This window comes from Homo sapiens, chromosome 16 (assembly GCF_000001405.40).
Source record: "Homo sapiens chromosome 16, GRCh38.p14 Primary Assembly".
Lineage (NCBI taxonomy): Eukaryota > Metazoa > Chordata > Mammalia > Primates > Hominidae > Homo > Homo sapiens.
This window is the reverse complement of record NC_000016.10, coordinates 64,730,542-64,748,605: the sequence shown is the minus strand read 5'-3', so window position 1 is coordinate 64,748,605 and position 18,064 is coordinate 64,730,542. Positions and strand designations below refer to the sequence as shown.

The 18,064-nt window shown below is 37.0% G+C and overlaps 1 long non-coding RNA gene and 1 pseudogene across 1 annotated transcript; one reads left to right on the top strand and one right to left on the bottom strand.

The window, feature by feature from the left end:
• Window positions 1-4,893: 4,893 nt before the first annotated feature.
• LOC107984894 (uncharacterized) lies at window positions 4,894-12,628 on the top strand. Its single transcript, XR_001752238.2, has 3 exons — window positions 4,894-5,074; window positions 7,197-7,330; window positions 11,380-12,628. It is a non-coding gene; the product is annotated as an uncharacterized LOC107984894 (long non-coding RNA).
• Window positions 11,326-11,818, bottom strand: PPIAP48 (peptidylprolyl isomerase A pseudogene 48; annotated as a pseudogene).
• Window positions 12,629-18,064: the final 5,436 nt, after the last annotated feature.

Genomic DNA, 18,064 nt, shown 5'->3' with positions numbered 1-18,064 from the left:
TATAAAAAGAAACAGATGAAATCAATTCTAACAATATATTTAAATTAACCTATTTATTATACCCCAAATGTTTAAGTAACCCAATATCACACAATGAATGAAAAAATAACCCACCATATTAGCCTCTCAACACATAATTAATATGAGTCACTGAGCTACTTTGCATTCTAGTTTTGTGCTAAGTCTTTGAAATTTGGTATTCACAGCTCAATTTGGACTAGCTGTAGTTTGGATGCTCAATGGCCTCATATGGGTAATAGCTACACAATTGAAGAGTTCAAGTCTGGAAAGATAAAGTTAGGCATGTAAACAAATAAAGGCAATAGAAAGGCAGACAGAGCTGAGTGAGAAAAAGCTCCAAAGTAATCAGGAGCAAAACATAGAGTTTTACCTCCTACAATGCTCAGGAGCAGGCCCACTTTCCTTATTCAATTGTGTAAGAAGATATTGTGTTAAAGCTTTCTTTTAACAGTTCTAGAAATTACGAAAAAAAAAATCACTGTAAACATGATAAACTGTTACCCACAAAGCTGGTCTCCCCAAGGATGGGGTCTCTCTGTTTGGTGTCAGAAAGCCAATATACAAAACTGAAAGTGAGTGTCAAGCAGTGCAGGCTTTACTCAATCACCATGGAACTGAGAAACAGGAGCATGACTCCTCCTGGACTAGTGAGGAGTGAATGGGTTAAAATATAGGGTTTTCTGATGAAGGTGTTGGACATTAAACATGAGAGGAAGAATGTCTATGTCTTTTTCCAGAAATGGGTGGTGATATTGTTTGGCTGTGTCCCCACCCAAATCTCATCTTGAATTGTAGCTCCCATAATTCCCACGTGTTGTGGGAGGGACCCAGTGGGAGATAATTGAATCATGGGAGCAGTTTTCCCCATGCTGTTCTCATGGTAGTGATTAAGTCTGTAATGGGTTTATAAAGGTAAAGCCCTTTTGTTTGGCTCTTTAACTCCATCTAGCTGCTGTCATGTAAGAAGTGCCTTTCGCCCTCGCCCTCCACCATGATTGTGAAGCCTTCTCAGCCACATGGAACTGTAAGTTCATTAAACCTCTTTTACTTTATAAATTACCCAGTCTCTGGTGTGTCTTTATCAGCAGCATGAAAACAGACTAATACAGGTGATGAACTTCCTGGAACCAGAGTGCTGCCTTCCTTTTTGTCCTTTTCTGGCTTATTCTGGTTGCTGTCATGGCACATATCAACTGTCATGGCACTGTTGGAAGTGTCATTTAGCATGGAAATGAGATCGTAATGAAGCCTAAAGTCTTTTGACATCGTTTGGTCTGCTATCTTGGTTTTAACCAGTTTCAACTGGTCTGGTTACAAAGGAAACTTTTGATCACAGGCATCCTTTCTCTTCAAGATAAGTGGAGTCAGAGCAGGGTAGAAATTCAGCTAGTCTGGTTTGCAAAGAAAAATTTTGATCACAGGCATCCTTTTTCTTCAAGATAAGTGGAGTTAGGGCAGGGTAGAAACTCAGCTATGCCATATAGGCTTTATACCAGATCACAGTAACATCTTATGTTTATTTGCTCTTTTTTTATTTGGCCATTTATAGATTGCACTGCACATGTTTTAAAATTCCACAGGAATTAAAGATACAGTTTTTCATTAAGAGGACTTCTGATCCCATCATATTCCTTTCAGTTGATGGGGCTGTGGCCACTGCCCAGTATGTGTTTCTCATCCAACTGTATAAAATCAGGCAATAAAAGGATGGGCCTCAGTGAGCTGAAAAGTCAGTGAGGGAGGTGAGGAGAAAGACAGACAGAAATAGAGAGAGGTCTAACTTGACAAGACCTTCTATTTTAATAAACATAATCAAGATGGCTTAAAAACAATTAAACCTCAAATTCCACAGTCATTTCACTTTCAGATGATTTGCGGCTGTTGCCTCGTCTGGGAAAAACTGACTTAGTTATGGTCTTTGTGAACAGACAGCTTCTAGAACCAGACGAGGCAGCAGAATGAAGTGTAATTGACTAAGTGGCTCAAAGAAGTGGAGAAATGTAATTCAATAAATTAAAGTACTAAAGATATATGCAAAATTCATGGGCTTCTTATGCCTGGCATTGTAGGATAAGACTGTTCCTCATTTTAAAATTGGACTCTTTAGTAGGATTACTACTCAATATCAGCAGCAAAGAAGTTGGCTCTGGAACTGTAATTTGAGGTGTAAATTAAGGTGACCTCAACTAGGATGAAATACCTTTAAAGAAGCTGAGATATAAAATATGAGCTGTTTTCAGGAAACGGAAGACGATTGGGAGTTGTTGAAAATGGACCAACAAAAGTGAAAAGGGGAAATAAAGAAACAGATTACAGGACAAAAGCCTAAGCACCTAATTTAAAACAAAAATGGTTTCCTATGGTTTATGATGAGTGATAAACAGAGTCCACTGTGTGGCCATAAAAATATATCTTTAGCTCAGAAAATATGAGCCTCACTGTCAGCTTAATGTAGTGATTTAAGCTCACAGCCTTTCTCCTTGAAAGAGTTACAAGGCTAAAGTTACCAATCATTCTAAATGATGTGCCTTTGGAAATTATGAACTATGGCCAAGAGGCATTAGTTTTTAGTGCAACTTAATCATGAATTTACCTATTTCAAGTTATTGTTTAGTTACATATTTCTTAGCGCAGCTGGAGTGGTAGAGTATTAATAGTTATAAAACTCCATTAAACTGGCATTAAACTTCTGAGAAAAACCCATAAAATTCTACAGAAAGCCCAACACTGGAGCTCTGCCTCCTCTGGCTCCAAGTCAACTTTATTATAATAAAGTCATTCAAAAGACTCAACAAGGAGCCAAGAGGGTCTATTGAGAAACCTCATGGTGTTATAGCAGGAAACCTCTGATTCACCTAGAAGACTAATGCACATACAAACCATAGGAAATTCTGAGATAAAGCTTTCTAAGAAACATTAAAATAGCAAATGGGGATGTTGATTCCATTAGCATATGAAGCCAAGGCAAAAAAACAAAAAGAAAGACAAGAAGAAAGAAAAAAACAGTGGTAAAATGACCTTTCACAATTCTTCCATAGAAAGTCTGCTCCCTGCATTTGGGCAGCAGAGACTCCAATCCCAAGGTCGTCATTTTATAAACATGCTCAGGAAAGAGCAGAATCACAAATCACTGATTGTCAAGCAGAGTTAAACAAAGTGCAGGAGCCGCACTATTTTAAACGAGGAACACAATTGAGAGACCATCAGACTGGACGTTTGGAGTAAATAAAAATCCATTTCTGTCTCCTGGAATTTTCAAATAGGAAGATGGAGGGAGGAAGGGGAGGACAACATTTCAGAGTGAGTATTAATATTAGGTGCTTTATAGCATTGCTACTCAAGCTGTAGCCGATGGGCCATCATTTACCTTCTCTGGGAGCTTGTCTGAAATGCAGAATCTCAGGCTCTTTCTTTTAGACCACAGCCCTTTTTACAAGATTCCAGATGATTTTTAAGCACAAGAAAATTTGAAAAGTAAAGCTTTACATCACTTTTGTGATTTTAGACATACAACACTTTTACCAGTTGTTACCCTCACTTCAGAGAGAGGAAAATAGGAGCTCTGTAGACTGTTCAAAGTTGTCCTGCCAGCCAGCTGTAGAAATGCAATTCCGACCTAAATCATTCAAATTCCTCTAAAGTCAAACATAAAAATATCAGCAAATTCAAATGAACAACAAACTATTCCTGAAGTTGTGTTTCATTTGTTCTAACTTGCTTTCCTTGTTTGCATGGAGTATGTAACAGTTGTGTAATAAAGGGTTGCTGGACTAGTAATTTATTTGTGGAGTGCCTGCTCTGTGTGAGACATTGTGTGTGAAAACAAGTAGTACGAGACAAAATCTCATACTTTCCTGGAACATTTGTCTGGGAAGACATGATACAGGCTTTTACAAAAAAAATATCAAGAGTGGACAGTTCTTTGTGTTGAGTACAACAGACAAGAAGTGCTTCCCAACGGCATCGGAGTGTCCATTGCAATTCACATCAATCAACGTAGCCTAAAGAGCAAACAAGTGATGTAAGTGTTCAACAAATATTAGCAATTGATATAATTGTCATTGTTAACTTTCCCAGAGGTGGGAACACCATATTTATTCTGGAGACAATGGGAGGGGTGGTCTCGCTGGTGGACAGGGTGAATGTGAGGAGAGAAGTTTTGAATAAACTTTAAAGGCTTCGTTGTGAAAAGTCAGGCAGTTCGATGAGTTGAGACAGTATTCGGTAGGCAATGGTGAGAGGGTGACTATCATAATGAAAGAGGAGCCTTCATATGCATCTTAATATATTAGTCATTACTGGAAAATTGGATCATTCCTAAGATTTTGGGCAGTCTTACGAAAAATAGCTCTTATGAAAAAAAAATTGTCACTGGATAAGTGCCCCGGACAAAATTCTGATAGGGTAAAACTAGGCATTGAACCTACTCTGGAAGAAATGAAATCTCTCTCCCTGGTTTCTAATGGGTGTTCACATAACTTTCAGTAAGAAGATGTTTCTCGGTGAAACCCCGTCTCTACTAAAAATACAAAAAATTTCTGAGAGTTAAGAAAATGCAAGTCCCTTTTGTAGCTTGTCAGAATAATAGCTACTTAACCAATTACTGCTCTTTTACCCTGACCATGATCTGTCTTGCTGAACATTCTAAAACATATAAAACCTTGAGGTGATGGCAGCAGAATGATTTGATAATGGGTCTTGTATAGAATCAAAATGTTCTGGAGTGGTAGATTAAAGAAGGATATGGATACCGTGTTTTTCTCTTCTCTATGAGGTAGAGTCTAGTTTCTCTTACCTTGAGTCTGAGATGACCTGAGTGATTTGTCCATAAATTGACCTAGTAGCAACTGATACTCTGATAAGAACTGTTGCAGCTTCCAGTATGGCCTTTTAGAACTCTCTGAGAGCCCTGAGATGTCAAGTAAGAAGTTTATCTGATACTTCTTGTTGGAGAAGCCAAATGGAGGTACTCTGATTGGCAGTCACAGCTGAGTCTACTAGACAAGCCTTCCAATCATTCCCTGCATCCAAGGTACCAGACATGTAAATGAAGGTATATTGGACCCTACAGTTCATTGATGGCTAAATATTTTTAAGTTTCCTTTGCTGTTGTCACTCAATTTCAATTTTTGATTTACAAAATTATGAAATATATGTCTTTTGTTTTAAGCCAGATAGTTGGGGGGGTTGTTTTGTACAGAGATAACTGGAACAGCTGGTACATCCAAATCTGTTCATTAGGAAACGTTTACTCCAGAACTAGTTTAATCATTATGGTCATAGTGAAAATCAAATGAATTCAATAAGGAATGGATCTACTTTGCAAGCATGTCAAGAAATTTCAGAAATGTATGAATTGATTGTTCAATAAACAACTAGTCAAGAATCCCAACCTTTGGTCCTTGCCAAATTTGCATTTATAGTAGGAGATTATTGTCCTCTCTACCCAAAAATGGAGCAAAGCAAGATTCGCAGCAAGAAGCTACTAGTCTATGCAGATGATTTAAAGGCTTCTAACACTCCCTATGTGCAAAGAGCACCTTGAGTCTTCCAAAGCAATTACTACAAAGATAACTGCAGATGAAATAAAGCACAGTGTTGGATTTATCTTCATGTACCGTTTTCTACATAGTAAAATGTCTCCCATTTATCTCTGTTCCTTTGACATTAGATTGATCAGTTAACTAGCTTTAGAAGCAAAAGATCAACCAGCTGACAAATTGTTCCCCTTGACTTCAAAGCACACACAGGACTAAATTTTAGGACTAATGATTTTAAATCACCTTTCTTGTTACAACAAAATGCATGATGCAATAATCAAATCTCTAAGCAATTTGTAAAACAAGGTTTGTTTGTGTGTGTCAGAAGCATTAGGGTAATGAATGGATGGGGAGTGAATGGGGGTAGTAGTGTCTTCTATGTGTACCACGTGTAGGAATCTATTGAATTAAATAGATGTCTTTGTTAATGAAACCACCACATAAATGGACCCAGCTATAAATTAAGCAGACCTCATTAGCCTGCCTTTCTAGGGGAAATGAGTTCCTTTTTGTGGATAAGAGTGAAATAGGTTCTTAAGATTTAATGTAATAAGAAGAAATTGGAACTTTTTACCTGGTGAAAGCAAAGCACCCGATGATTTAAATGTGATTCATCCACCAATTTTGGCTCATGTTCAGATAATTGAATATTAATAATAATACTATTATTATTTGTTTGTAGTGAAATATTAGTAATGTTATGGTGTTTGTAATTATTATTGTTAACATTCGCAATTACACCTTCTATTTAAGTCAGTTTTCTTAAAATAATAGGAAATACAGACAACTTTGAGAATCTAATAAAAGTTAGGAACTTTTCCCTGAAGAAAAGAATGCTCATATGCAGAGAAACACTCACAATATCAAAGGGGTTATGCATGCCTTATGTTCATGTAAGGACCACCAGAGCCCATTCCAGGGGTGGTTTGGTTTCCAGAGAGAGAATCTTAAGATAAGAGCATAAACTGAGCTAGGCCTATAATACAGCATCTATTTCACTGATCACTTCAACAATTCCCATGTTTGGTGTTACTATCCTCATTTTAGTGTTGGGAAAACTGAACCTCCAGGATGAAGAAGTGAAAAATCTGAATTTCATATTTTTCTGCTTTCAAAGCCCTTGGTATGTTCAATCATGTAAATTAATTTCTAATCCTTCCTAAAATGGATATTGAGGTAAAGGTAGGGATGGCTAATGCACCCTCCTTTAATTCCCAGGTACTGGAGAACTGTCATGTTTCAACCAGTCAATACGTGTGTTTGTGTGTGTGTGTATGTGTGTGTGTGTATGTATACATTCCCATCTCCATGCATATGTGTCATTAGTAAACATTTGAGAGAGGACTGTAGTCTATCAATTACCTGTTCAAACTGGTTAAGTTGTTTCCTTTCCTATAGATCTTATTTTTCTCATGTATTAAAAACAAAGGTGTTAAATATTTCAAGCCCTGTGCAAAAGTAACACTGCAAGAGTTTACAAATATAGTTTGGGGTACAGGTGAGAAAGGAAGGAAGTAGAAAGAGGAGGAAAGAGTGGGCCAGGGGTTTGTAGAGAATGCAATGGGAAAAAAAGGCTTAACAAGGAAGAAAATGAGATTTATCCAAGGAGTATGCTGTGTTCTTTCTTTCCTTCAGAAATACACCTCTTCTCAGACATCCTTCACATCATCGCAAGCATCCCTCTTTCATTGACAAAACGGCATTTACTCTGAAAAACAGAAATGGAGTCAGTCTTTGAAAATGTTTTCTACCTTATGATACTAAGCCTGGTATGTGGACCACAGTAAGCATACTTTCCTCCTATATTTTGCCATAGCAATACTAGACATATACATCTATATGTTGGTTAATTTCATAATGAATGCGCACTCTCTATCACGGACTTTGCTGAAGATATTATACAGTGTAGTTCCCCTTGGTGATTTACAGTTATTTGCTTTCCATAAGCTCTTTTCTAAAGCTAGTTTTCATTACAATTATCATAATAATTATATATATTTGTGGAAAAAAATTAAACACTTCAGAATGGAAATGAATTAAACAATAAAAGTCACTCTATGAATCTTTTCACCAGTTTCATTCCCTAGAAGCATGACTATTAAGAGTATCTTGTGTATATAAGCCAATCTATCTATGTGTCTATTTGATCGACCTATTTCTTCTTTATCATCATAGTCTACACGTCTGACTAAAAATGATGGTTTTTTATAAACAAATATATTAGTAAGTAAATATATATTCTCCAACATTTTAAGTTAAATACTTTAAAAAATTCCCATCCTTACACAAAAAGATCTGCTTCATTCTTTTTATTGGTTGCATAAAATTCTGCTATATATAATGCCATCATTTATTTGACCCACTATTGATGGATACTTAAAACATTTTTTAGAATTTTGCTATTACTAACAAACATCTTTGTATGAATACCTTTGTACCGCTGGGTAAGTGAATGTATTGTGCACATTCAAAAAGTTGCTGGGTCAAAAATATACGTGTGTGAAATGTTGACAGATATTGCTAAATTGCCTTACAAAATGGTTGCATCAATTTTCACTGCATTTAACCATGTTGAGCATTGTCTGTTTCCCACTTGGTCAAAATGCAGCATTACCAGCTATTTTTTTTGACATAGTGATATTAGTAAATTATGGCATCTTAACAATTTCTAGGGTTTCTTCACATACATTATTGATGCATTCCCCTTTCCCTCACCTCTTAATAGTTGTCAAAAATTTCTGCTTCTATTTTCAAATCATTGTTTTAGGACAATGCATTACTTCTGAGGCACCAGTTATATTTGCTGATTATAATTTACACAGGAAGAATTACCCTTTTGGATCTTACAATTTCCATATTACTCTCTCTCATCTCCCATTTATTTATGCTGTTGCTTGCTAATATATTCATTTATATTCCATCCATTTCCAAGGCTGATTTGAAGTGGCATATGATAAAATAGTAGGCATAAAGAAAAATAGCATTGAAATGGAAGGAAAAAATATCCTCGAAAATTAATATTGTGACTTTAGCAGTAAATCTATCTCTTGGCATTCTCGATATTAAGGCCAAAAGCAGCAGTCAATTTTTGATTAATGCATAGCCTATAGAAAGAGAAACCATGTCAGTTAATATGGAGATAAGCATTTTTCCCATTCCTCAATTATTTAATGAATGTTTCAGGTGGATACAAACAATAGAACATACAGTGTCCTCCAAAATTATTGGCCACAGAAAAGAAACAGAGATTTTCTTTACAGGACTTCTTTTAAAAAGAGAGAGAACTATAACCTGAAAACACCATTCACAAAAGATATTGCTTATAAGACAGAAGCAGCTTAGCTATCACTGTTAGATATTAACTTGCATACACATCATTTTATTATATTTAATGTATTCCTTAAATGCATAGGCTCACTGCTATTGTTGTATTGACTTTTAGGTCTGAAGAGAAAATATGTGAGATATGTTTAATTGTTTGAGCACAGGAATGTCGATGATAATTATGATAAAGATAATTATGATTTACTCTCTTACAAATTTTAGCTGCCCTTTTTGTCACTTGCATCAGTATTAATTTTTTCCTCACAATGACACAAGAACTTCAGATAAAGCAAGTGCAAGAAATTTGGAAGCACAAATAACATTTCCCAGCATTTAATTCAGTTCATTCCCATCTACCAACTGAAAGACATCATGGTACCGATTCATCAAGCCCTTTGTGTGTATTATCTTTATGAGACATATCTTATGTTCTCTAATCACATGGGTCTCAGTGTTCTCTGATGAATGCCCTGATCTGTTTTTCAATATATTTATCTTCTGATACTTTTCTCTGCACTGGTTGAGAAAAATGTTGGTATCAGAGTCAACAGCATCTGTAGGAAAAACTGGGGAGACAATCCTAGATAAATCAAACTCAACCATTTCACTAAATGGGATTTTTTTTTTTTTGAGACAAGATTTTACCCTCACCCAGACTGAAGTGCAGTGGCCCAATCATAGCTCACTGTAGCTTCCAACTCCTGGTGTCAAGGAATCCTCCTGCCTCAGCCTCCCAAAGTGCTGAGATTACAGCCTTGTGCCAAGCCCAAACAGATATTTAAGCTCCACCAATTTCTACCCACTGCACTCATTGGACAGTGTCCAAACTCTGGTCCACCCCTTCCATTTATTTATTACCATCCTCAGTAGCACTTGAGGACCAATTATTCTGAACTACTTGCTATCTGAATACCCACAACATTCCTTGCCTTCTAGATTTTCCTCCTGCTCACTTTTGAAAAAATTCCCATTGAATGAATCATTGTTCTCCAAAAACATTCTATGCTTAAGCAATACTTTATTTTTCACATACATTTATTGTTTTCCTCACCCTCCCAAGAAAGAAATTGTCTCTTTATTTTGAAAGAATAGGAGGCCCCCTAGCACAGGAACATGCTTCTGCCTGCCATAGCCCCCTGGATCTGCTGAGCTCGGATGCTTGGGGTGTGCTTCAGAAATGCCTCTGAGTTGCTACAGCAATTGCTGTCCTCACTTCCTGCCAGAACAGTCTACACCTCCTCCTCCATCATTTTCTTTCCCAGGCTGATGAAGACATGTCTGAGCTCTGCTCTCATGACAATCATTCCCCTCCTTTATTTTTCAATAAATATATAGAGTTATTTCAAATATTTTGGTATATGACATAGATTGGTTTTGTAGTTTTTAATGAAGTAAAATAGAAACTTCTAAATACAGCAGTGTCTGTGGGGAAAAAAGCCATGAGAAAAAATAAGGTAATTGGCAGAACTATATTTGCTTGAAGGAATTAAATGAAAAGCATGGCGTCATGATCAATCAGATAATGGTTTCTATCATACATTGTAAAACTCTATAGACTTAACCATCTCTTCCAACAGATGAACATATATATATATATATATATATATATATATATATATATGTATATATATATGTATGTATGTATGTATCTGTGCCTTAGTTTGTTTGTGTTGCTATAAAAGAATACTTGAGGCTGAATAGTTTATAAAAAAAGAGATTTTATTTGGCTCATGGTTCTGCAGCCTGTACAAATTGCATGGTGCTAGTGTCTGCACCTAGGGAGGGCTGCACTCAAAGTTCTACTAATGGTGGAAGGAGAAGGGGAGCAGGCATCATATGGTAAGAGGAAGGAAGCAGGACAGAAAGCATAGGAGGTGCCAGGGTCTTTTCAACAACGTGTTATTAAAACTAAGAGTGACAACTGACTCACACTTAGGAGAATGACACCAACCCATCCATGAGAAACCTACCCTCATGATCCAAACACCTCATACTAGTCCCCATCTCCAATATCAGGGATCAAATTTCCACATGAGGCTTAATGGGGTCAAACGAATCATATCCAAACCATAGCCATTTGTATCTATATCTATATTTATATATATCTATATCTAATTTATATCTTCCTATATAAATCTAAGAATGTAAGAGTGTGCGTGCATCTGTGTGTGTGTGTGTGTGTATTTAGCATCATTTTCCTTGGATTAGTAAGCATTCAGTAAATATTACTTTTGTTGTTATATAGTTTTTATTTCATAATCATAAACTTAACTCTGCAATCTGCTAGAGGTGGAGCAGACTAAGGAAAATGTGGAACCAAAAGAACTTCAGCAAGAACACAAAGATTATAGGATATTTTGAGCAAATGGAGTGGAGGAATGTTCTCTTGCCTATAAAAAAATTAGTCTGGTAGTTAAAACAAAACATAAGTTAAATTTATTGGAGTTGTCCACAGTTGTCAATCGTGGTCTTCTTTCTGGTTTTGCCATTCCAGAAAGCAAAGTGCGCCATGGCTTCCAAGATATTCAAGCCCTCTTTTGTCTTGCCAAAGACTGCACTCTTGCCACCCAACCACACAGTTTTGGCAGTGCAGATGAAAAACTGGAAACCATTTGTGTAGCGTCCAGTATTTGCCATGGACAAGGTGCCAGGTCTTGTATGCTTCAGGATGGAGTTATCATCATCAGACTTCTCCCAGTAGTTGGACTTGTGCCAGTGTCATCATGACATGTGAAGTCACCACTCTGGCATATAAACCCTGGAATAATTCTGTGAAAACAGGAACACTTATAGCCAAATCCTTTCTCTCCAGTGCTCACAAAATGAACATTTTCTGTTGTCTTTGGAACTTTGCAAACAGCTGGAAGGAGACATGGCCCAAGTGCTCACCGTTGACTACAAAGTTAAAGAACAAGGTGGCAGTGGTGACATCAGTGGAAGTGGCATCTGCAAAGTGCCAACAAATATTTTAAACAAACAAACCAATAAATTAATATTTCTTAAACCAGTAAAGAATGAAAACTTTCCAGCCACTCATCAGGCATTTGTTCATAACTGCTTGGTGTCATTCATGGTGAGAGATTTTGCTGACACAATGATAGCTATGAACAATCCCTGCTTCCAGAAGCCTATGGTGCAGCAGGAGAGGTTTGTACCCACATTCATGGCATAGTGATGGAGAGTGTTGGTGCCAGAACAGAGATACACTGAGGCCTTTCTGAAGGGACCCAGAATGGAGCATCTTCGACTTCATGTGTGTTCAAGAAGGTCTTCATAAAGGAAGTGACAAACATATTCAGGTATCTGAAAGTTGAACACACACTGAGGCTTACACTGGACAGAAGACAGAAGGGTAGTGTCGTCCCTGACCCTGAGGCCTTAAATCCCTATTGGGAAGTGAACACACTGACAGATTTTCACATACAAAAAAGAAATAAACAAACCCACTTAAAACTATGAGTGGTTGATTTATGTGACCACTCCTATGGATGCTTGCATACAAACAGGACACACAGAAGGATAATCTGAAATAGAAATATATTAGACATAAGGATTAACTGCATGATATTTACTAGTAAAAAGCTAAAACACTAATTTAAATTTAAACTGTTAACTCTGAAAAATAATGGAGGGGAGAGCCAATTGGAGAGAAGGCAATGAGCAAAGAAATCCAAGAGCCTCGGGATTAGATAAAATTAAAAAAATGTCTGACTGGAGAATGACATACTTTTATAATCTCTTCACTTTTCCAGACATCCTCTATTTGTTACAAAGCTATCCCAGTCCCCAGTCTTGTGGTGTCTGGACCCTTGGGGTCACTTCCTAGCTGGTGACTTGCTTACACTCTCGCCTGGCCTCACAATGTGTAAGCCTCATTGAGCGATCCTTCTAGAACGTTAGCCAGATTATGTAACTCTCCTTTTCAGAACCTTCCAACCACTTGCTCTCTTGCACATAATTAATTCTGATGTCCTCACCCTGGCTTCTAAAATAGATGACCTGGCCCCTTACTAACGCACTGGTCTCATCTCCCACCTCTCTTCCTAGGTAGCTCTAGTCACACAGCCTGTGATCATTTTGAAATGTCTGAACCATACTCCCCTTTCAGGACTGTTGCATTGCTCTTCTATATATCCATGTGTCCTGCACCCTCTCTTCATTTAGGCTTTGCTCAAAATATCCTTTTTTCAAAGATTGTTTCTCCGAATGCCCTTATGAAATAGCATGCTTCTCAATGCTTTAGTTCCTTGCCTGCTTTACTTATCTTCATTCATTTATTTTGTTTCCTCTAACTAAAATGCAAGCTTCATGAGAGTGAGAAATATTTCATAAATAACTATTCCCTGTGCTTAAAAACAGTGCCTTAAACATGGTAGACACTCAATAGATATACATTGAAGAAATGAACAAATACTTTTCAGAGCCCTTACTATGTAATATGCATTATCAAAATAAATCATAAAAATTCAAGAGAAAGGCATAATATTCAGTGCTTCTCAACAATTTAGACATGCAGCTCTTTTGCAGATTATTTCCCATTTATCCCTCTCTTTAGCAACCATTTACCTATAATGTTATTATCTGCCTACCACGGAACCTATCATGCTCTGAACACACTTTGGAAACTGCTGTTCTAACAGATACCAAGGGAAGGGAACTATATTTACTTTCAGGCCTGAAATAAGTCAGAGCTAAAAGGAGTAAAAGTGGTGTGCAGATCTATCTCAATGATAGTCCAAAATTGTGGGGGTGTGTGTGTGTGTGCGCACTTGCATGAAGAGGGGACTCTGGGCTCTGAGATCTACAGGAAAAAAAAAACAGAAAAATATGGCTGAAGTCACTGAACAAACTCATCAGAAAAAAGATTAGATTATTATAGAAAACAATGCTTAAACTGCTAAAATGCAAATTGTGATAGTTAATTTTATATGTCAACTTGACGGGGCCATCGAATGCACAGATATTTCGTTGAAAATTATTTCTGGTTCCAACACAGAGATGAGAAATGTTTGAGATGATCGATATGCTAATTACTCTGATCCGGTCACTGTATATTATATGTACTGATATATCACTATGTACCCCATGAATATGCACAATTATTACTTGTCAATTTAAAAAATCAAAATAACCTACCAAATCAAGGATAAATTAAAGACATTTTCTAACAATAAATTATTCTTGGATGTGTCTGCAGATATTTTTAGGTTAGACTAACTTTGGGTTGGTAGACTAAGCAAAGCTGATTTTCCTCCCCAGGGTGAGTGGGCCTTAACTAATATGTTGAAGGCCTAATAGAAAAGAAGGCTGAGTAAGAAAAACTTCTTCCTCTCTGCCTGATTGTCTTTGAGTTGGGACATCAGTGCTCCTCTGCCTTTGCATTTGGACTTGGACTAGAATTTTACCATTGGTTCTTCTGGGTCTCCAACTTGCTGATTCCAGATCTTAGGATTTCTCAGCCTCTGTAATGCATGAGCCAATTCCTTATAACTAAATCCCCCACGCTCTCTCTCTATATATGTATGTATGTATATACACACACATGCAGACATACATGAGGACTTTAAAAAGGTTCATGGGAAATGGAGTTAAAACATAAAGATAAAAAGTATAAACTTTATTTCTCAACCTAAGCTCCATCAAGTTCAAGACACTTTTGTAAGCAATGACACCAGCCGTGTAGTCCATCCCTAAAGAACTGAGAGTCCTAGGAATTTGATCACATTAATGTAATCTTTTTTATATTATTAACTGAAGAAAAATAAGTGTCCTTTACAGATAATTTAAGATTAAGAAAAAAAGACGTTAGAAGGAGAAAAATCAGGACTGTAAAATGAATGCCTAGTAATTTTCCATTGACACTTTTGCAAAATTGCCATTGTTTGATAAGAGGACAAAGCCGGAGCTTTATTGTGGTGGAGCAGGACACCCTGGTTGAGAATTTTATGGTCATTTTCCTGCTAAACATTTGGCTAAATTTTTCAAAACACTTTCTTCATAAGCAGATGATATCATTCTTTGGCCCTCCAGAAAGTCAACAAGCAAAATGACTTGAGCATCCTAAAATCTGTTGCCATGACCTTTGCTCTTGACCAAACCACTTCTGCCTCTCTGTAGCCATTGTTTTGACTGTGCTTGGTCTTTCTGATGATACTGTTAAAGCGGTGTTTCATCTGTTAAAATTCTCCCAAGAAATCCTTTAAGATCTTGATTGAACTTACTGAAAATTTACATTGAAAGCTTTGCTCTTGTCTGCAGCTGATGTGGGTACAGTAGTTTGGGCACTCAAGTGGAAAGTTTGCTCAACTTTAATTTTTCCATCAGAATTATGTATGCTGAATCAGTTGAGATGTCTATGGTGTTGGCTGCTGTTTTTGATGTTAATCATCAGTTCTTTTCAATTAGGGCATAAACAAGACCATTTTTTTTTTTGCAAATTGATGTGCATAGTCTGCCATTGCAGGCTTCATCATCAACATAATCTTATTCCTTTATAAAATGAGTTATTGATTTGTAAACTGAAATTGCTAATTTATTTTGGGCATTGTTCCCATAAACATTTTGTAAAGCATCAAGATTTCACCATACTTCCACCGCCAAGTTTCGCCATGAATTTGATGATTGTTCTTGCTTCAGTATTAGCAGAATACATATCGCTTTGATAGGGGCTCTTCTCAAACTGCTGTCCTGTCCTTCTGAGTGCCTCAAAGTAGATCTTGTTCACGTATGTTATAACAAACTAGTACGAGTTTATTTAGGTGCAAAAATATTGAAATTTATGCACAGTTTTTTCATAATATACATTTTCCATGAATTTTTGAAGTCCCCTCGTGTGTGTGTGTGTGTGTGTGTGCACGCTTATGGATGTATGTGAATCTCTCTCTCTCTCTGTCTCTGTCTCTCTCTCTCTTTCCTATTATTTCCATTTCTCTGAGAAACCCACACTAATACAGAAATTAAGAAAAGGAGAAAATAGAGCAAAAGGCAACCTCACAATGGATTGAATCCACAACTCTAAGTGAGAATTTTAAATCTCTATCCAGTGAAAAGTTGAAAATCCCCATAAATACTCTGTAGCCCTGTAGCCCATCACTTCTCATTCCAGACAGAAGTGATTTCTGAGTGCCATGGTTCTTTCAATATTATCTAGATTCTGGTCAGAGGAGAAATGCTAATGAGATAGGAAAGGGCTCAGGGAATGGGCAAGAAGAAGAGGAAGAAGGGGAAGAGAATGAAGATGGAGAAGGTGAAGGGAGGGAGCAGGACAATCCAGCAAAGGCCAGGCAGTTTCCTGCTCATTTTTCTCCTGTCAGTTTCTTAGCTTACTTTTCCAAAACAAATGGTTATTCTCAAAATTTATTTTTTCCTCCTCAGGAGACCCAAATAAAACTTTAGGGTTGGGAAAAGGGAGATTGCCACTTAGTTGGCCTGTAAACACCTCTGATTCCATAGTGGCCCCTCTATCTATCATATCTTAATCACCATGGTGTTAATAAGATAATTTGATGCTGAATTATAAATATGAATGACAAGAGGAAAGCAAGGCTTGGTGTTAGGGAAGTAGGTACATGGGGAAGGCACTTGGCCCAGAGGAGAGCATGGCCAGATGGACCTGGATGGATTACGTGCCAGGCTCACCATGGTCCCACTTTTCTGTGGAGTGGGATGCCCAGAGCAGGGACACCAAATTGCAACTGATCAGACTGTGAATCTGGGTTCTTTCAAATAGCCTTGTGACCTTGCACATTTCTTGCATTCTCTGTGCCTTGTATTTTATGTAAGCTTTGAGATGAGGATAATGATGCCTACCATTTATATTGTGCCATGACTATTAAGTAGCATAAATACATGAGGTACCTAGGATGTGGATGGAGTATATTTCCTATTCAATAAACGTTAATTCATCCTTTCTTTATTGAAAGAATATTTTCTTTCACTTGTTCAATTATTAATTTATTCAAAAATATTTACTGACCATCTATAGGCACTGTTTAGAGCACTAATGATAAAATGATGAGAGAAAGAAGAAAAGCAAAATCCAACTGTCTTTACAACAACACTTATTATTATTATTGGAGTTGCATCTTCTGTTTCTGAAATTGCTGAGTTTCCTAAAGGCCTGGGATTAGGAGATGGTCATTTCACTTTAATGGTGAGAAATGGCTCCATACCTTCACGTTGTTGTTTCTTTTATCTAAAATACTTCCTTCATTCTTGTTTTTCCTGAATGTTTTTCAGAGTTTCTCTCAAGACTGTTATATATACCAGTGCTTAACACTGATAGCATAGCATAGAACTAAAAAGACATGGTCTTTGCTCCCTGAGGTTTACAATCTATTTTTATATAGCCTAGCACCTAGCACCTAACACAGGACCTAGTAAATAATGCATGCTTATTGAGACAGCAAATAAGTTAATGACTGTTCTAAGGAAACTAAGAATGTCCAGATAATTGCAGCAAACACCGTCATAATAACAGTGTGACGTGGCAAGTCCATATAGTCTCAGGGAGGTGGGGTGAACATAGTGGTTCCCAGCCCTTCGCACATGGGCTTCACTTGGAGAGCTTTAAAAGTTACTGATTTAATTGTCAGGAGTTTTAAAGACTCTCCACATGATGCCAATGAGCAGTCAAGGTTAAGAATGGCTATACTAAAAAGCGTCATTGTGAAATTGTCCTACAGTTCTTTCTGAATTCTTCAGGCTTAATAGAGGGAGTGCTGCCCTCGTAGACTTTGGATGATTGCTCTTTAGGCCATGTACTATTGACTTGAGATCATTTCATCAGAATAGGGTGATTATGAATGTCATTATCCAAAATGGGATACTTAAAATATAAATCAGGTATACTATACATATTCAAGAATGCACCTAAGTATACAATTCAATGCATGTAACCAAACAAACACATTAATGATACCAAAGTCCAGCTGCAGAAAGAATGTTAAGAACAACAAGACTCTGCTTCACACTCTGTTTCAGCTTGGTCTTCTTCAAGGGTGACCACTGTTCAAATTTTTAGTAGCATGTGATAGTTTTACAGATTTTTATATTTTACAGAAATTTAATCATTGTTCCTGCTATTGTATGTGGCTACTCTCATTCAGTATTATGTTTGAGAGATGCATCTGTATCATGTGCTTAATTGAAGATCATTCACACTTGTTGCCGTGTAATAT